We start from the raw sequence: 22130 nt of genomic DNA on the forward strand, positions 1-22130 counted from the left end.
AAACAAAGGTATGCATTTGGAAATTTAAAAGTAGATAAAAACCACAAATGAGGAAGAGATTAAAGTATATAATTAGGAAGTCTATGGAAGAAGTCTTAAATCTAGAGAAAATGGAAAATATTCTGAAAAATATAGGTTACCACAATTATACCAAGAGAAGTAGAAAATTGAACATAAGTTAATTATGGAAAAAATAGACTGAATTATTTAGCATTAAAAAATATGCTGTGTCTAGATGAATTCTGTTAAGTCCTGCCTGTCTTTCAGAGAAGAGAGAATTATTACAGTATACTTACAGAAAAATGTTGAAAGCCTCTCCACATTTAAGTTTACAAAGCTTAGAACCTAAATTTAGTTTTAAAATATGACAAAAAGGGAAGCTATAGGTTAATTTCACTTATGACTACTAATGAAAAATTAGCTACTCCATAAACTAAATATAGTGGTGTATTGATACAACCAGGTCCCAAGACCAAGTGAAGCTTTCCTGGGAATGTAGGAATATTTTAATTTTAATATTAGTAAATCTATTAAGGTGATTTATTAAGTCAGCAGATTAATAAAACAAATGAATATACCAATAGATATTGAAATTTGATAAATTCAGTAGGCTACTGAATTTAAGTAAAATAGAAATAGAATGAAACTGCCTAAACGTGAGATACATTCACACATATATGTGATGGAAAATTCCTTAAGGACAGTTGATAGTATTTGTTCATTTTTATCCTCGTTATCCAAGGTCTTATCACCTAGTGGAAACTCAGAGAGGGGAAAAAATATGTATTTCCCTTTTCCAATTTAAAATAAAATAATACCGGGGGAAAATAAGACTCTGTATACATGGAGATTCTGATGTACTACAAATAAAAAGAAAGACTAATGGAAGCCTGAGAAGTGGAAAAAAGGATCAACCAAGGTCACATGTATTCTTGTTTTATGGTTGTTAAGATACAATCCCATTCTAAATAAATAGCCTCGTGCATAAATATTCTCATAAATATGTGAGAATAACCTTGAAATCTTTTCTAACATTTCCTTTTCATTAACTTCTATGACGGTCTTTGGCATTAATGCAAATATGAAGGATAGTCACACTTCCGTGCCTGTTCTGTGGTCGTTGTACAAGTACATCCAGGAGGTCACAGAACCTTGGAAAGTACTTTATTACACCATACGAAAACTCTCTTGTCAATCCTAATGCAATTTAATGTGCTGCTGCTGGTGCTTAATTTAATTCAGTTTTTTTTCTCCACTGGTTTTTGTTCTGTACTATCTATATTTTTATGAACTTCTGCTATATGAAATAATTTATATCTGAATTATTGGCAAGTTCATAGTGAACATTTTCTGCATTTATACCTTTTTCCCTTGAATACTGAACAATAAATTAGCTACCTCAATTAGAACAACTATGTCAACATACACACACATGCACACACACACATACACACAAATATACACACACAAATACACACACATACACTCATGTTCTAGATTGGATCACTTAGTGGCATAACCCATTAGAAATTATGGAATGCTTTTTTCCCGATAGTTAACATTTCCAAATAATTCTAGGTAAAATTCAATGAAGGTAAAAATCATGCGACTAAATGCCACAAGTAAATTGCTAGGAAAAAGGGAATTACTTCTGAGTTTAAAAATATATATTTTCAACAACTGTTAAAAATAAAAGCTAACTTGTGAATTCAAATGTCAAAGCTCCAAGAATGATGCTGGCAGAGGGAACAGTAGCACTATTTTCATTACTGTCTATAGCTTTCCTAGCACTCAAAGAAGAAATAAAGTTTAGATACCTCCATTTTATGTAAGATTTAAAAATGTATTGCCCTTTTTCACATTAATTTATACCTACCAGTTAGAGTTAAAGCATGTCAGTAGTGCTTCAGAAAAATCACATTTCTTTTCATTAAATTTTCATCTTATTGTAAACAGAAATCACTCCAAAAACAAACAATCCAAACACCTTCTACATATTCATTCTTAGACCAGAATCCTTTTGAAACTGAGCTATAAGAAAACCTGAATAAACATTCTGAGAGAATTAAATTAGCCAGTCATACTTTCTAGTACAAAGTTTCTATTCTATAAGGCTGACATGCAGATGGTACTCTCTTCTGTTTTCTTAAAGGTTAGTGATCTAGGAATAATTCTTTTAGAGAAGTATACATAGTCAAATATTTGGGGGATACTCAGTACTCCTGTAATAAGCCTTGCTAACAAAAAAAACAGGAAACAGAAAGGAACATAAGTCCTACCATAGGGATTTAAATATTATTAACTTGATAGTGCTTTTCCATAAGTGTGCCTCCATATGAGTACTTGAGATAATATATAGGCATTGCCTGTCACCTAATAATCAATTATTAAATGACAGCTATTATTTATTATCCTTATCATTTGCTGAGTATATATAATGTGCTACTGCACTACAGTATGATGCAAATATTTTACCTTTGTCCTCCCAAACACCCCTGTAGAATGAATATTTTAATGCCCTTTTATACAAAACAAGAAACTGAGGATCAGAGAAACTGCCCAACAGTATATATAATGTGCTACTGCACTACAGTATGATGCAAATATTTTACCTTTGTCCTCCCAAACACCCCTGTAGAATGAATATTTTAATGCCCTTTTATACAAAACAAGAAACTGAGGATCAGAGAAACTGCCCAACGCCTCACAGCATAATAGTCCAAGGTTAGATTAAAAACACTAGAACCCAAACACAGAAGAGAGTTTAGTGCTTTCCTGATATGCTTCCGTGATAAACTAAATATTAAAATAATTCCAGGCTTGAAAATAATGGCTAGGCCCACCAGGATCTTATTTTACTCAATACTTTTCCCCCTGAAATATCTAATTCTTTTATTTGGAAGGTGAGATTAAGAGTCTGGACTCTGGATTCAGATGGCTTGAGTCCAAATTCCTGCTGAGCCACTTACTCACTCTGTGACTTGGACAGTAATTAGCCTCTTTGTGCCTTTTTCTCCTGAGGATAATAGTATATCTGTCATAGGACTGCTGTGAAAGTTAACCAAGTTCTTCTGTATGTCCAGTGCTTAGACTAGTACCAGGCACATAGTAAGTCTTGAATAAACATTTGTTATTACTATGAATATTTACATTTTATCTTATGTTTGGGAGCCCCTGCTTTTCCCATGTCTCTAACCAAGGTGCTTGGCCTGCCTATAATCCACCTGGAGTACCACCTCCACATGTAGCCATCTGGCCTCAGGTGATGATCTAGTGGCTGAAGACTTTGAGACACAGACACCCTGGGCCTGTGGAGGAATCATGATCACCATATTTCAGTGGACTAAAAGGGAGAGTAGGAAATGAAACAAGATGGGAGTAGGTTGAGGTCAACACTATCTCAGGATGAAGAGAATCAATAGGTAAGAACATGATAAAGACTTTGAAGACTTATCCTTGAAATGGGGTTGAGAGTCTCACATAACTTTTCATAGTCATTCTGAAATTCAGTTCCTTAGATTCCAAACCCTCAACAGGATTCTAGTTGCTCAAGCTCTGGAACAAATTCTTATAAAAGAATGAAATATCACTGGTGGTGAGGGAAAAGGTCAAAGTAAGCAAGAAGGTTAGAATGAAAGATGCTGGCTTGTTCCATTCATCTGTTTAATCCATCTGGCAGAATTATGAACCTCTATCCTCCATGGCATTTGGATATAAATCAGAAATAGATTAGATTAGAGTGGGAGAAAAGAATGGAAAGAGTAAGAGGCTTCCTTTAGCTTCTCCAAGGTTGAACTGGCAAACAATCTTCGGCATTCAAGTTCATTTTCGAATCAGGTCAATAGACCAGTGAGGGTAGGAGGTGAATGAGCAATTAAATTACATAGCTTCTTCACCAGCTCTCCAGATGAGGCATTCTGACCTCCAACAGTGTCCTTCCAAAATATTTCTCGATGCACCGACTCCAAATACCTCTTGCTCCCAAGAGCTCTAACTCAAGGGAGTGATGGATCAATAGAACAAACTCCTAAGGGTCCCTCTTGTTTGCATGTGTGTTGAAAGATGTGTAAACATCTGTGTATCTTAGGAGGAAACATCTTGACTCTGGGTATGTGTAAGTAAAGCACATGTAAATTTTCTGCTACAGAATTGTATGTGAGGAGATGTAGGGGTATTGGTTTATGGGGATAGGGTGGTAAAACCCACTGAGAAAACGGTGGGTCCTTTAGGGCTCACCGAAGTTGCCATTTGAGCTGAAGACAGCAGACAGAGCATGAGGCCTTGTGAAGAAATGAAGCCCTCCTCTGATATCTGTCAAACGATGTTGCCAGTGACATTGTAAGGATAACATTTTACTTTCATTGCTGCACAAGTCAGAACATTTATCACCTTCCTATTATTTATTGGCTGTACCATTTGCTATATATGCTTGTAATTAGAGGAATGTGAGTTGATACAATAGAAATAATTTTCCAAATTATTGTCACAGTTAACTCCAGGAACAATATGGTAAAAAAAAAAACTGTGTTAGAAAAACGTTTTGAATACTGGTATCAAACACTCACTCTAGCAAGCTTATGGAAAAGAGAAGAATGTATTCAGTGAACATAGGAGTGTTTCAGAGAATCTGTAAATAGTATGAAGGACAAAGCTTTAATTAGATACTTGAATAAGAAACTGGAAAACTCTCAGGAATCCAGGAAGTATTTCTCTTTTGCTTTCTGTGTAACTGGCTAATTCTTCTCTCTGTACAGCTTGGCTGTCCTTCCCTCTCTATTTGGCATAATGTCTGTATTACACTTCCAAGTTTCCATGTTCCAGATCCACAAAGAGTAAATGGCTTTTAGTCTCAATCAGATTTTTGAGAGAGAATATGGTCATTCCATCTTGAGTGTGATGTCCACCTCTATGACAATAGGCTATGGGCTGAAAAGAGGAAGTGTGGTTTCACACAAATACATGATATCCCTCTTGTTCAGAGAGGGCAAATAACTTATTGGCAAGGCAGACTTACTAAAACTGTCAACAGTAATGGTAGTGTTGTTGCTGATGATGATGTTGAAAATGACATGTTTAAGAATTCAAGCACTGTTTGAGAATTTGCAAACCTATACCCCATGACCCTGCAGTCTAACTCCCAAGTTTTTATACAAAACAAAGGAATGTATATGCCTACAAAAAGACCTAAACAATAATATTTATAACAGCTTTATTTAGAAAAGATAAAACCGGGAAACAACCCAAATGTCCTTCAACAATAAAATGGGTAAACTGTAATATAATCATACTATGGAACGGGACACAGCAATTGAGAAGAATAAACTACTCATATATACAACAACATGAGATCAAGTTCACAAATAAAAGGATGAGTGGAAGAAGCCAGACACAAAAGATTGTACATTGAATTGCATTTGTATGAAGTTCAAAAACAGTAAAACTAACCTCAGCCTGGTGCGGTGGCTCACACCTGTAATCCCAGCATTTTGGGAGGCCAAGGCGGGCAGATCATGAGGTCAGGAGATCGAGACCCTCTTGCCAAACATGGTGAAACCCCGTCTCTATTAAAAATACAAAAATTAGCCGGGCAAGGTGGTGCGTGCCTGTAATCCCAGCTACTTGGGAGGCTGAGGCAGGAGAATAACTTGAACCAGGGAGTTGGAGGTTGCAGTGAGCCGAGATTGTGCCACTGCACTCCAGCCTGGGACAGAGGGAGACTCCATCTCAAAAAAAAAAAAAAAAAAAAAGTAACCTCTAGTGTTAAAAGTCAGACTAGAGGTCATGTTGGAAGGGCAAGGGAGGACACTGACTGGACGGCCCATGCAGGGAGTCTTCTGATGTGATGGAAATAATTCATACCTTGATCTGCATGGTAATTATAAGAGTCTATATGAATGTAAAAAATGTTCAAGTTGTACTCATAAGATTTCTGCATTTTATTATATAAGCTATACTTAACCAAAAAAAAAAAAGAAGAAGAAGAAGAATTTGGCCACTATCGTGAAATATATGTGGGTATAAATTCATGTCTTCTAATAAATAGCTTGACTTCTCTGGACCTCAGTTTGTTGTTTGAATACCAGTGATAACAGTATATATCTTATGTATAAGGTTGTTGGAATGACTGAATTAAAAATGAATATAAAACTCTACTAATGGTTTCCAGAACATATTATGACATTTATTACATGCTGGATAGTGTATTCATTGTTTTAGGTATGTAGGCTTACTTAAGCCTTACAATAACCGTGAGAAGAAAATCAGATCTCCACTTGGATGGTGAAAATGAGGCAGGATAAGTAAGGTTAGGAGGCCATACTGACTTGTCCCCTTGCGTGAAGCCCTGCAGGCTCCTTTTGCATCACTTGCACCCCACCTTGTGTCAGCGCCTAACACTTTTGCAAGATAAGCAATCCTATAGGATACCAGCTGACTTCCAGATAATTCCTGATACCCGATAGGCCCCCAGGAAAGAGAAAAAAAAAGCTCCTTATTCATTTTGTAACTTCTCTCCATCCAATCTGCACCAAAGCCCAAGAAGCTACCAGCTACAAACTCCTGCCTTATGGGAGCTGGAGACTTCTCTGGGGTCCCACATGCACAGCTAGTCTCAAGGTTTAGCCTACAGTAACCGTTTCCTCATTTTAATTGTAAAAAACATACCCCTAGGTGGAGATTTTATATGCTAATGACATATGTGATGCATGTTAGAGCATGTATATGCTGAGTGCATGTGCCAGCCACAGGTCTGCCTTTGCAGACTTGACCTCATCAGTATTTTATGAATATGTATGTACAGCTAGGGAATTCCCCTTAAGGCACAAGGAGCTGTCTGTCACTTTGAGCAGTACGCTCTGCTTCTCAGAGTGTACTGTTGCTTTGCAATAAACTTCTTTGTCTACTTATACTTCAGAATCTCTCTCAAATTCTTTTGTGTGACCAAGTCAAGAACTTGAACCAGCCCACCAACAACAAGAAGACAGTTTCAGAAAGGTTATATCTTTCATAAATTTTACCTGAGATTATTCAGTTTGAAAATGGAAAAACTAAAATTCAACCTAGATTTTAATGACTGCAAAGTCCATAGCCTTAATGTTTATGCTATTCTACCTCATAGCACTACATTTTCTAACATTCTTCCTTTTTGAATCAGAAAGGTGACACTATAATCAACATAAAAAGAAATAGTAAGTTTCCCCTACAACTAGAATACAAAGTTTATTTATAATAGTAAAAATAAGCCAGGAAGAAAAAAATTAATATGATGCAACAATACATATGATCTGTATAGAATAAATGAAATTAAAATATACTTAAATGATTAATAAGTCATTTGATGAAATGGCACAGTCTCTGAAATGTCAAAAGGGATATCTGAAGATATTTAATAAAACTCTGAAAGTTTAGGATAATCAGTCTTCAGTATAATTCTATGTATTGGAGGGGGAAAATCTCTATAGAATACTAAAGTAATTGCTAGTATTTTTTATATGTGTCAGACACTGTAATAAGTGCTTTGCATTTATTAACATATTTAGGCCTTCCAACAATTCCCACAGAATTCCAATTTTACAGATGAGAGAATTGAGCCATATAAAATTACAAATATCGAATTTGCACAAATTAATATGGAACCAGTATTTGAACACAGTTGAGATTTAGTCAGAATTGGGATTAAGATTTTTACTTTGTACTTCCAGCTAGTTATGGTCTCACCTAGTAATGTATGACATTCATAGGCAGTGAAAAGAGTTCTTATTTTAAGATATGAAAAATCTGAAAGACAGCCAGTAATAACTGATGTCGCTTTTCTAAACCTATCTAGACTCAATATAACTAATGCCTTCCATTCACTGCCTATAATGTAGGTCCCTTAGAAAAAAGCTACTCTTCATCTGGAATTATAGGAAGAATATGACTGCTATGGCTACTGGCCATGTTCTATACCAACAAGTTGCAGTATGTGATATACATGAAAAATGCATAAAAGATTGTATTAATTTGTATTAATACATGGTGTTCCAGACATTAGACAGCTATGACTAAGGAGCTAACTAAAGTACATGAATATGGACTGGGCACGGTGGCTCATGCCTGTAATCCCAGTACTTTGGGAGGCCGAGGCTGGTGGATCACTTGAGGTCAGGAGTTCGAGACCAGTCTGGCCAACATGGTGAAACTCAGTCTCTACTAAAAATACAAAACTTAGTCTGGCGTGGTGGCTCATGCCTGTATTCCCAGCTACTCAGGAGGCTAAGACAGGAGAATTGCTTGAACCCAGGAGGTGGAGGCTGCAGTGAACCAAGATGGCACCACTGCACTCCAGTATGGGGAAGAGAGCAAGACTCTGTCTCAAAAAAAAAAAAAAAGTACATCAATATTAACTAAGATTATTCTCCTTTTAATTTTCTGATATGTGTAAGATTTCTTTTTGCTTTACCGTATATACATATATAAGAAAAAATAATAAATGTTCCAGTATTTACTCTAAAAGATAAAGACTATTTTTAACATAACTACAATATTATTCTTATACCTAAAAATTAACAATAAATCCTTAATATCAAATATTCTGTAAGTGTTCAAATTTCAATTGCCCCATAAAGGTCATTATCTTTTTATACTTTGTTTTGAAGTAATTTCGAAATAAGGTTTACATTGTTCTCGGATGACATTTTAAGACATTTTAATCTCTAGATTCCTCCTCCAACTGTCCTTTCTCTTGGAATTTATTTATTTTCTCTTTAAAGTTAATATTATTTTAATTGACAAAAATTATAATTCTATTACATGTAGTTTGTATTCTAGGTACACAAGCTAACATATCTATCACCTCACTTAACACTTAGTGGTGATACATTTTACATTCACTCTCTTTGTTATTTTGAAATATGCTATACACTATTACTGACAATATTTCCCCTCCTGTGCAATAGACATCAAAACTTATTCCTCCTATGTATTAATAGCTGAACTTTGTACCCTCTGACCAGTAATTCCCAATTCCCTCACTCTCTCCTTTCTTCTTCTTCAACTTCTGGTAACCATCATTCCACTCTCTGCTTTTATGAGTTCAACTTTTTGTAGATTCCACATGTAAGTAAGATCATGAAGTATTTGCCTTTTTGTGCCCGGCTGTTTCACTTAGCATAGTATCCTCTGGAGTCACCCATGTTGCCACAAATGACAGAATTTCATTCATTTTTAAAGCTGAGCAGCATTCCATTGTGTTTGTACACCACATTTCTTCATTCATCTGCTGATGAACACTTAGATTGATTTCATATGTTGACTGTTGTGAATAATGCTGCAGCGAACATGGGATGCAAATATCTCTTCAAAATATTTATTTAATTCCTTTGGTATATTACCAGAAGTGGGATTGCTGAATCACATGGTAGTTCTATTGTTGGTTTTTTGAGGAACTTCCATACCGTTTTCCATAAGGGTTGTACTAATTTACGTTACATTAATTGGATTACATTTCACTTGCCTCTGTATCCTTGCCAAAGTTATCATTCATCATTTTAATAAAAGCCAATCTAACAGGTATGCTCTGATATCTCACTATGGTTTTAATTTTTATTTCCCAAAGGATTAGTAATCATGAGTATCTTTTCATGAACCTGTTGGCTATTTGTTCATCTTCTTTTTTAATTTAAAAAACTATTTAAAAAATTATTTCAATTTTTATTTTATTAAATTTATTTATTTCAATTTATTTATGAAATGGAGTCTCACTCTGTCACCCAGGCTGGAGTGCAGTGGCACAATCTCCACTCACTGCAACCTCTACCTCCAGGGTTCAAGTGATTCTCCCACATCAGCCTCCCAAGTAGCTGGAACTACAGGTCCGCAACACCACAACCGGCTAATTTTTGTAGTTTTAGGAGAGACGAGGTTTTGCCATGTTGGCCAGGCTGGTCTCGAACCCCTGACCTCAAGTGACCCACCAACCTAGGATGACCAAAGTGCTGGGATTATAGGTGTGAGCCACCACGCCCAGCCTCAATTTTTATTTTGGATACAGAGAGTACCTGTGCAAGTTTGTTACATGTGTATATTGCACCTAGGTAGTGACCACAATACCCACCCAACAGGTAGTTTTTCAACCACGGTCCCCTCTCGACCTCCCCATTCTAGTAATCCACAATATCTGTTGTTCCCATGTTTATGTTCATGTGTGTTCAACGTTTAGCTCCCACTTAATAAGTCAGAACGTGTGGTATTTGATTTTATGTTCCTGCGTTAATTTACCTAGGATTATGGCCTCTAGCTCCATCCATGTTGCTGCAAAAGACATGATTTCCCTCCTTCCTGTGGCTGCATAGTACTCCATGATCTATATGTACAATATTTTCTTTATCCAAATCCACCATTTGTGGGCACCTAGGTTGATTCTGTAGATTTGCTATTGTGAATAGCATGGTAATGATAATATCAGTGCATCAGTGCATTTGTCTTTTTAGTATAATGGTCGCTTTTCTTTGAGTATATATACCCAGTAATCAGATTACTGGGTTGAACGGTAGTTCCTTTTTTTTTTTTTTGAGATGGAGTCTCGCTCTGTCACCCAAGCTGGAGTGCAGTGGCACAATCTCTGCTCACTGCCACCTCTGCCTCCCAGGTTCAAGCAATTCTCCTTTCTCAGCCTCCTGAGTAGCTGGGAGTACAGGCACACACCACCACGCCCGGCTAATTTATGTATTTTTTGTAATAATAAGAGATGGGGTTTCACCATATTGGTCAGGCTGGTCTTGAATTCCTGACCTCAGGTGATCCACCCGCCTTGGCCTCCCAAAGTGCTGGGGTTACAGGCATGAATCACTGCACCTGGCCAGTAGTTCTGTTTTAAGTTCTTTGAGAACTCTCCAAACTGCTTTCCAGTGACTGAACTAGTTTACATTCCCATTAACAGTGTATAAACATTCCCTTTTCTCTGCAACTTTACCAGCCTTTGTTGCTTTTTGACTTTTTAATAATAACCAGTCTGACAGGTGTGAGATGGCATCTCACTGTGGTTTTGATTTGCATTTATCTGATGATTAGTGATCATGAGCATTTTTTCATATGTTTGTTGTCTGCTTTATTATTTTCAGAAATATCTGTTCATCTCCTATTGCCCATTTTCTAATGGGGTTACTTGTTTTTGTTTGTTGATTTGTTTAAGTTCTTTATAGATTCTGGATAATAGACTTTTGTCAGATGCAAAGTTTGCAAATATTTTCTCCCATTCTGAGGTTCTCTGTTTACTCTGCTGATAGTTTATTTTGCTGTGCAGAAGCTGTTCGGTTTAATTGGGTCCCCCTTGTCAATTTTTTGTTGTTGTTGTTGCAATTTCTTTGGGGAACTTAGCCAAAAATTATTTGCCAAGGTCAATGCCCAGAATGGAATTTCTTAGGTTTCCTTCTAGAATTTTTATAGTTTGAGATGTTACATTTAAATCTTTAATCCATCTTGAGTAAATTTTTGTGAAAGGTAAGGGTCTAGTTTCATTCTTCTGCATATGGGTAACCAATTATCCCAGCACCATTTATTGAATAGGGAGTCACTTTGCATTGCTTGTTTTTGTTGGCTTTTTCAAAGATCAAATGGTTCTAGGTGTGTGGCTTTATTTCTGAATTTTCTATTCTGTTCCTTTGCTCTATCTGTCTGTTTTTTATACAAGTACCATGCTGCTTTGGTTGCTGTAATATTATAGTCTAGTTTGAAGTTGGGTAATGTGATGCCTCTGGCTATCTCCTATTTGCTTAGGAATCCTTTGGCTATTCAGGCTGTTTTTTGGTTCCATATGAATTTTAGAATCATCTTTTCTAATTCTGTGAATAATAAATTTGGCAGTTTGACAGGAATAGCATTGAAATTGTAAATTATAATACTTTGGGCAGTCTGGCCATTTTAATAATATTGATTCTTCCAATCCATGAGCATGGAAAGTTTTTCCATTTGTCTGTGTTATCTCTGATTTCTTTCAGCAGTGTTTTGTAGTTCTCCTTGTAGAGATCTTTCACCTCCTTGGTTAGCTGTTTTCCTAGGTATTTCATTTTCTTTGTGGCTATTGTAAATGGCATTGTGTTATTGATTTGACTCTCAGCTTGGATATTATTGGTGTATAGAAATACTAGTGATTTTTGGCGGGGCACCGTGGCTCACGCCTATAACCCCAGCACTTTGGGAGGCTGAGGTGGGCAGATCACGAGGTCAGGAGATCGAGACCATCCTGGTTAACACGGTGAAACCCCGTCTGTACTAAAAATATTTTAAAAATTAGTCGGTCATGGTAGCGGGCGCCTGTAGTCCCAGCTACTCGGGAGGCTGAGGCAAGAGAATGGCGTGAACCCGGGAGGCGGAGTTTGCAGTGAGCAGAGATCGCACCACTGCACTCCAGCCTGGGCGACAGAGCGAGACTCCGTCTCAAAAAAGAAAAAAAAAAAAAAAGAAAAGAAAAGAAAAGAAAAAGAAAAAAGAAATGCTACTGATTTTTGTATATTGATTTTGTGTCCTGAAACCTTGCTAAAATTGTTTATCAGCTCTAATAATCTTTTGGTGGAGTATTTAGGATTTTCAGAGTATAAAAACATATCATCAGTGAAGAGAGGTAGTTTGACTTTCACTTTTCCTATTTAGATGTCTTTTATTTCTTTCTCTTTCCTCATTGTTCTGGCTAGAATTTCCAATACTTTGTTGAAATGAGTGATGGGAGTGGGCATTTTTGTCTCATCCTGGTTCTCAAGAGGAATGTTTTCATTTCAGCTTTTGCGTGTTCAGTGTGATGTCGGTCGTGGGTTTCTCAAGGACGGCTCTTATTATTTTGAGGTGTGTTCCTTCAATGTCTAGTCTCTTGAGGGTTTTTATCATGAAGGGATGTTGCATTTTATCAAAAGCTTTTTCTCCATCTATTGGGATGATAATATGGTTTTTGCTTTTGATTCTCTTTATGTGGTGAACCAATTTATTGATTTATGTATGTTAAACCAACTTTGCAACCCAGGAATAAAGCCTACTGGATCGTGGTGAATTAACTTTTTTATGTGCTGCTGGATTTGATTAGCTAGTATTTTGTTTAGAAGTTTTGTGTCTATGTTCATCAGGAATATTGACCTGAGCTTGTTTTCTTCATTGTGTCTCTGCTAGATTTCTGTATTAGATGCTGGCTTCATAGAATGAGTTAGAGAGGAGTCGCTCCTCCTCATTTTTTTTTTTTTAGAATAATTTCAGTAGGATTGGTATCAGTTGCTACTTATACACCTGGTAGAATTCAGCTGTGAATCCATCTTGTCCAGGGCTTTTTTTGGTTGGTAGAATTTTTATTACTGATTCAGTTTTAGGGCCAAATATTGGTCCATTTAGGGTTTCAATCTCTTCCTAATTCAATCTTGGGAGATTGTATGTTTCCAGCAATTTATCCATTTCTTCTAGGTATTCTAATTTGTATGCATAAAGTTGTTCCAAGTAATCTCTGGGGACCTTTTGTATTTCTGTGGAATAGGTTGTAATGTTATCTTTGTCATTTTTGGTTGTACTTTTTTGGATTTTCTATCTTCTTCTTTGTTAATCTAGCTAGTGGTCTATCAATCTTGTTTATTTTTTTGAATACCCAATTCTGGGTTTCATTGATCTTTTGTATGGATTTTCACATCTTAATTTCATTAAGTTCTCTAATTTTAGTTATGTTTTTCTCCTCTGCTAGATTTGAAGTTGGTGTGCTCTTTTTTTCTAGTTCCTTTAGGTACAAAGTTAGGTTGTTAATTTGAGATCTTTCTAATATCTTGAAGGCATTTAGGGCTACAAACTTTCCTCTTAACACTGCCTTAGGTGCATTCCAGAGATTTTGGTAAGTTGTGTCACTATTTTCACTAATTTCAGATAATTTTTTGATTTGTGCCTTAACTTCAGTGTTCCTCCCAAAGTTATCCAGGAGTAAGTCATTTAATTTGCATGTATTTGTGTTGTTTTGAGAGCTCTTGTTGATATTGATTTCTATATTTATTGCACTGTGGTCTGAGAGTATTCTTGCTAAGATTTCAATTTTTTGAATTTATTGAGACTTGCTTTATGACCGAACATGTGGTTGATCTTAGAATATGTTTCATGTGTAGATGAGAAGAATGTATATTCTGTAGCTATTAGGTGGCGTGTTCTGTAGATGTCTATTAGAACCAATTTGTCAAATGTCATGTTTAAGTCCAGAATATTGTTGCTGTTTTCTGCCTCGATGATCTGTCTAATGGTGTCAGTGGGGTGTTTAAGTGTCCCACTGTTAATGTGTGTTTTTCTAAGTATTTTCATGGGCCAAAAAAACTTGTTTTATGAATCTGGGTGCTTCAATGTTGGGGGCATATATGTTTAGGATAGTTAAGTCTTCTTGTTCTGCTGCTCCACTGGAGTACTTTTGCAGCAACCCAGGAACACATCAGATCCCCAATTGCAGCTGGAATCTGACACCAAGCCACAGGATGTCCTGTGGTGTCCCCAGGGCTGCAGCATAGAGCTCAGGAGTACGGAGCAGAGATCTGTGGCTGACACTTGAGTAGAGGAGGAGCCCCTATGCTCAGAGCACTGAGAGGGGCAAAACACTCAGCTTCCTGGGCTGGGATGAGAGAGGGGCATACTTCCCTCCACAGGGCTAGTCCAGAAGGGGTATGGCACATATCTCTTCACAGCCTTTGCCTGAAGGGGCCCTGTGGCCCAGAACAGAAAAGAGAGAAAGAAAAAGAGTGAGAGAGACAGAAAGAAAAAGGAAAGAAAGAAAGAAAGAAGAGAAAAGAAGAGAAGAGAGAAAAGAAAAGAAGGAAAGAAAGAGAAACATGGGTGTGGCACTGGTGATCAGATGGGGCTACCCTAAGACCCAGGGGCAGCCATTTATCTTGTAAGGAAAATATTCAAATGAAATTTTCAAATGTGCATGTAGTTGTAGAAGTCATTCCTTTTTTCCGGCTTATCATTTTAGCACTCTGAACTAGCCATTTATTTTTAGGAAAATAAAAATGCTTGTATAATGCTCAATCAAGTGCTAAGTATCGGTGGAAATATTTTCAATATCAAAATACCAAACACTGCTGGAAATTACTTGGCCCTCTGTATCATTCCTGCTTTCTGAGATCACCTTCTGATGTGGCAAGGGTGTAAAGCCTACAAACTGCATTTCCAAATTATTATGCCAGTAAGGACTGGGCTAAAGTCCTTCAGTGAGAGAAGCTTGTATGGGATTTGGAAGGCGGAAGGTAAAGAAAAGCCACTATTTCCAGGTAGCGGTTGCAGAGGTGTGTCTGCCAGACCAAGAGTTCACATGAGATTTTGCCTGAGGCTTTGGGTAGTTTCCTGAGAAGTAACCATTTTGATCACTGCAGGCAGCTGAAACTATTGGTCCAACACTTGCAAAGTTTCATCCTTCCAGATTCCCTACATCTAACTTCCTTTTTACTGTAAATAACTCGGGTGGTGTAATAGTCCGTTCTTATGCTGCTATAAAACAACTTCCCAAGACTGGGTAATTCATAAAGAAAAGAAGTTCAGTTGACTCGCAGTTCTGCAGGGTTAGGGAAGCCTCAGGAAACTTACAATCATGGTGGAAAGGGAAGCAAACACATCCTTCTTCACGTGGCAACAGAAAGGAGATGTGCAGTGCAAATGGAGGGGCATGGGGGCCATTTTCACTGCACTTCTCCTTCCTGTTGCCATGTATAAAACCATCAGACCTCATGAGAACTCACTTACTGTCATGAGAACAGCATGGGGGAACCGCTGCCATGATCTGTCGCCTCCCGTGAGGTTCCTCCCCCAACACATGGGGATTACAATTGGGATTACAATTCAAGATGAGATTTGGGTGGGGATACAGAGCCAAACCATATCTTCCACTTTCCTGACCAAATTTAACTTATACATGAAGCAAATCCTCAAACATTCAAACAACAATTCAGATAATGATTTTCAGTTCACAGATTTCACAATATACCTTTGAACATCACAAATAATACGATGTTAAATATGACAATTTTATGAAATATATGTAGTTGGCATTAGTGGTCATTTTTAACCTGAAACTTGGAAACTTATAGATACAACTTCTTTCCAAATCCATGTTTCTTTCCTTTTTTAAATGCAGTCTCAAATTAAATAATATACTATAAAAAGATGCAACGCAGAAAACTGTCTGTAATTTTATCTATTTTAACCTTTGATCTATGTTATCTAATTTTAACCTTGTCCTTATGAGCAATCTCAATATGGTAGAAGCCCTCCTAACTGACCTTCCTTTAGGTAATCAAAGGGGTTAACTTTAATAATTTTAATTTTCTCTGTCAATTAGTGACTAATGTGAATTGCACATTGAATGACCTCACCCAGAGACTAGGTATTCCACAAGTTAAGTTTATCAGGAATGAGTTATGTTGGTTCCTAATATTGCTATAATATCTCCACCTGTTATTGGAATTACATAATTTAATAAATATTACATGAATAATTATATTAATAGTAAATATTGATAAAGCAGTTACTATGTTCCTGGCACTGTTCTATACTGTTTCTATAAATTTACTCATTTAATAACAATCACCTATGAGGAAGATGCTATTATCATACTCCTTTTAGTGGTGAGAAAACTGAGGTCAAAAGAAAGTCAGACATTTGTCCAAAGTCACATAGATGGTAGGTTGGAGAATTTGAACACAGTCTAACTTTAGAATCCATGCTTTTAACCACTATGCAAATAATAGTGAAAAAAGAAAGTTATTTCTATGAAAAGTAAATTAATCACACCAATTTATACACAAACATCTATAGCAACATTATTCATAATTATCAAAAGTAGAAACAACACAAATATCTATCAACTAATACATGGATAAACAAAATATGGTATATCAGTACAATGAAATATTATTCAGCCATAAAAATGAATACAGTACAAATACATGTTACAATATCCATGAGCCTTGAAAACATGCTAACTGAAATATCCAGACACAAAAGGCCACATCACTTATGATTTCATTTACATGAAATATCCAGAATAGACAAATTCATGCAGACAGAAAGTAAATTGCTGGTTGCCTAGAGCTGAGGGTTTAGGGACAAACAAGGAGTGACTGGTAATGAGTATAGGAATTTTGGAGGAGTAATAAATGTGTTCTAAAATTTATTTTGGCAATGGTTGTCAAACTCTGTGAAAATACTTCAAAATAGTATAGTAAGGAGAAAACCAATTAGACTCATCGCTTTGGAAAGATTCTGTAAAGATGGCCCGCTAGAAGATAGAAAGACAATGGAAAAAACACTAGGGGAAAAAAAAACATAAAAATCTATAATGATTCTATGCTTCGAATATTTCAGAAGTGCTCTTACTTCTTGCTTCATTTGTAAGAAGCTAAACCTGGAAATCATAAATGATGTATTATTGGTGGGAGTAATAAAAGAAAGAAAATTCATAAATCCAATAAACTTTTCTACGTAGCAACAGAGAAGCAGGGAGATCAGGGAAGCCTTCAAAGAAAGAGGGAAACTTGAGTTGGTTACTACATGTTTATAAGGAGTTCACTTAACCTGAAAAGCACAGCTTTTTCCCCCCCTTTCTTTCTTTATTTTTATTTTTATTTGTACTTTTTTTTTTTTTTTTAGACGGAGTCTTACTCTGTCACCCAGGCTGTAGTACAGTGGCACAATCTCGGCTCACTGCAACCTCCGCCTCCTGTTCAAGCGATTCTCCTGCCTCAGCCCCTTGAGTAGCTGGGATTACAGGCACGCACCACCTTGCCCGGCTAATTTTTGTATTTTTAGTAGAGCTGGGGTTTCACCATGTTGGCCAGGCTGGTCTCGAACTCCTCACCTCATGATCTGCCCGCCTCAGCCTCCCAAAGTGCTGGGATTACAGGCATGAGCCACCGTGCCTGGCCCCAGATGGTTTTTTATACAGAAGTAGCATGAAAGCAACATAATCAGGATGTCGCCAAAAGCTCTGTGTGCCTGGAATACAAGGTGCAGAGAAGGAAAGAAGGAGATGCAAATAGAAAGGTAAGTCAGGGCAAACCTGTCTGAGTACACAAGTTATTCTGTCAACCTTGGAGATCAAACAAAGATGCTTAAGTAAGGATCAAGTACTGTTGCAAATTTGCTTATGTTTAAAAGAGAGGACTGTTGGCAGTGTGGATTGATTGGAGGGGCAAAATGATGGAGGCACTGAAACCAACTTGATAGTTATTCACTATTAAGGCAGGAAATGCTGAAACGTAAACCATGCACTGCTATCAAGATGGAGAGTAGGGGATGCATTGATATCTTTATAGAGAATAAAAAGAGCTTAGTGATGGGAATAGAGGGTAAACATCATGAGGCAGGTGGGTTTGCTCACAATTTTGTCCCCAAAGCCTACTCACATCCCGGACGCACAGCTAGTGTTTGATATTTGTTGAGTAAATTAATGCTGAATGTATGGAGGGAGGGAGAAGAATGACCTTATTATAATTTTAAATTTTCTAACATTATTTCTATGTTTGGTAATTTTTTTTTTTTTTTTTTTGAGACAGAGTCATGCTGTCGGCCAGGCTGGAGTGCAGTGGTGCAATCTCGGCTCACTGCAACCTCAGCCTCTCGGGTTCAAGCAAATCTCCTGCCTCAGCCTCCTGAGTAGGTGGGACTACAGGCGCATGCCATCATGCCCAGCTATTTTTTTTTTTTTTTTGTATTTTTAGTAGAGACCGGGTTTCACCGTGTTAGCCAGGATGGTCTTGATCTCCTGACCTCATGATCCACCCGCCTCGGCCTCCCAAAGTGCTGGGATTATAGGCGTGAGCTACCGCGCCCGGCCGGTAATAATATTTTTAAATGAGAATGAAGACTGCAAAAAACAGATCAAAGGGAAAAAGTTAGTTTGGTTTTACAGGTTGGGATTGAAGTACCTGATGATAAGAAATTAGTAAAAATGTACATGCAACTAACTGGAAATACAGGCCTGAGGCTCCAGAGAGAAAGGAGGGCTGGTAGATTCAGATTTTAGGACGCCTTGAGGTATAGGTGATCTCTAAAACTGTGAGAATGAATGAGCTCCAATTAGTTAAATCTTCCATGAAAAGGAAAAGAATAACAGGGCTTGTAGCCCGAAAAGCTGAGGAAAGGAACAGAAACCAAGGCAAATTGCAGAAGAACACTCACAGAATTAGTGAGAGATGTCAAGATTGAGAAGAGTATTAATATTTGAGCTTCTAACCCTGAATGCAAAATTAAGAGGGAGTCTCCATATCTACTCACAACCTAGATGGCAGGAGAAACATGGATCCATATAGCTATTATTCCAATCATGACAACTTATCATCAAACACTGGGATTAATCTGCTTCTTGGATGTGAGAACTCATCCAATAAGCCCTGAATCACCCTTAGGAGCATGCTCAGATAGACTTAGATTTTTTTCCCCACATGATAATCTTCTTGGCCTCATATTAATGCAAAACCCATTTTTAAATGGCCAGAAAATATTGCTTCCTATAAGGCATTGTTTTTCTGAGATTTCCATGATAAGGTAGAAAACAATATAGTACAAAGATCAGCCTCTTTATACTAATGACCGGTATGCATCCACAGACACAAGAATATAACCAAGGCAAAGAAACACATTGTCCACGCATTCATGTTTTAATTTAATGTGATAGGGATGTTTTCAGAGATCTAGCAAAGGGAAGACCTAAGGACAAGGAAGTTCCAGCCAATCTTTAGTCCATGCTTTTGGTAAAGTGCTCTGATTCTAAGTGTCCATGCTCATCCTATAAAGTGGGGAAGAATAATTCATCACTATACCTGCAATTACTTGAAAAATTATCTCTTGGGATCATGCAATTTCCTTTATTATTTCATGGTCTCCAGCCAAGCTCTTTTCATGTAAGTGTTTCTGGAAGGACCTGCCCATGTGTGGGGAGCTGCTGCACAGCCGGCCAGCATCTCCTCCTCTAACATTAACATCTCTCCATAGGAATGCACGAATCCAGGAGCTGCCACACTATACAACTCATGTCCTAGTTGAGTCATTTGCTCTCAACATCACTAGGCGAAAGGAGCACTCATTTCTCAATTTTATTGACCATCTACTATGTGTTAGGCATTGTACTGAGGGCCTTGTATATTGAATACATCAAAGAATAAAAGAGAAATTACTCCTCTCTGGTGGAGATCACAGAGAAAGGAGAAACAAACAAAAGGATTAGTTAACTTGCGTATTATGGTAAGTTTGACAAAAGTTGAATCTACTCCAAATTTGCTGACCTTTTGCTGTTTTTCAAACATGCTAGGCATATTCCCACCTTATGGCCTTTCCATTTACTGCTCCCCTCTGTCTGGAATGATCTTCCCCCTGTATCTGCATGACTCACCCCTTGCTTCCTCTAAGTCTTTATGCAAATGTCACCATCTCAGGGAGGACTTTGCTTACTGTACAACATAAAATGTTCCTTTTAACCCAGCAACTTCTCATCCCCATTTCTCATTTTCTCTTTCTCCAAAGCACTTAGTATCATATTGTACGGTTTACTTATTTATTTTATTTTCTCTACTAGAATATAAGCTACTTGAGATATTTGTCTTTATGTTAATTAATTTATCCTGTGTCTAGAATAGTTCCTGATCTGTAGTTGATATTCTTTCTAAGATACATAAACAGGAAGTAAGGAAAGAAAGTCTATTTCAGATTGGGGAAAGGGAATCGGACTTGCTGAGGAAGTGATATAAAGCATGAAAAAGAGCTAGCCTGTAGCCATACAAAAGGAAGTAGAAGCGTAGAAGAAGCGTGTGCAAGGCAAACACCCTGAGGCAGGCAGGAAGGGACCAACAGGGACCAGGACTATGGAAGAGGGCTTGTGTGAAAAGGCATAATGGGTTGGGTGCTGGTGGCCTGGGGAAAGGGTCCTAGAAGTAAGGACGGGACAGATCATGTAGTGTCTTGTAAGTCAGAATATGAAATATGGACTTTTTTGTACGTGCAAAGAGAAGCCAAAGGGAATTTTAAGTTGGGGAAGTACATAAAGCCTGGTTGTTCCATAAAAGCACAGATTGGAGGTGGCAAGAATAAAAGGATAGAGAGCCAGTTAGGAGACCGTTTAAATGTTCCAAGCTGAAGGTGAAGGTAACCCGGACAAGGGCACACCAACGGAGATGAGAGAATTCAAAGAATGCAAGTAATATTTTGGAGAGATAATTGACCACATTTGCTGGTGGATTCTTTTGGAGCATGAAGGTGAGTATGAAATGGAAGTAGATTCCTAAGTTTGTAGCTTAAGCATTGAATTTCAGCAAAAGCATCTAGGACTTCCAAAAAGAATAAATTCCTCACTGTATTGTAAAATGAAAGAGACGTAAATGAGATAAACCATTTGTTGAATTTATTGAATGTCTTTGAATCTACTGTCTAACTCTATTAAGTCTGAGTACAAGTTAACTTGCATTTCTATTTTAATCCAAAGACTTCATTGAGTTTAAGCTTGTAGCCCATACATTCTAGTCTGTCAATGTCTTTTATTCTATTAAAGGGAAAGATTAAATGCTCAATATATATTTCTTGCTCCCTCTTCTCCTTCCATTTGTATGCATCATTGCTTTACTGTTGCTATTGCATTCTTCTTTCTCAGCAATCCTATAGTGTCTGTACTGCTATTTAGTACGAGAAAACCAAGGCTCTAAGAGGTTGAACATTTTGCCAAATATCACTGAGCTAGTAAGTGTTCAAGCTAGGATTCGAACCCAGGCCTGTTCATTTCCAGACTGCTTATTCTTTACTACCATTCTTCTTCTGATGGTTTCAATGATTCTAAATCCAAAACAGTAGACAGTCCCCACATTCCCGCCATGTTTACCTTCAAATGTATTATTTTTACAGCCCCCGTATTTTTATTTAAACTATACTAAAATAGGTATTGTTTTCTTCCCAAGGGAAGGTTATCTAGACAAAGTGGAATGAGAGAAACACTATGGATAAACCTAGCCTGAGATTCAAGACTGGCCATGATGATGATAATTCTTTTTCTAAAAATCCAGAGCAGACTGTTTTTGATTAAACAAATCACGTAAGATAGTTTCATCTTAAAATTTTTTATCATAATTTGTTTATAGAACAGAAACTCTCCATTGTCATTTAAACAAGGGCAC

The sequence above is a fragment of the Homo sapiens genome, chromosome 2 (assembly GCF_000001405.40).
Source record: "Homo sapiens chromosome 2, GRCh38.p14 Primary Assembly".
Classification (NCBI taxonomy): Eukaryota; Metazoa; Chordata; class Mammalia; order Primates; family Hominidae; genus Homo; species Homo sapiens.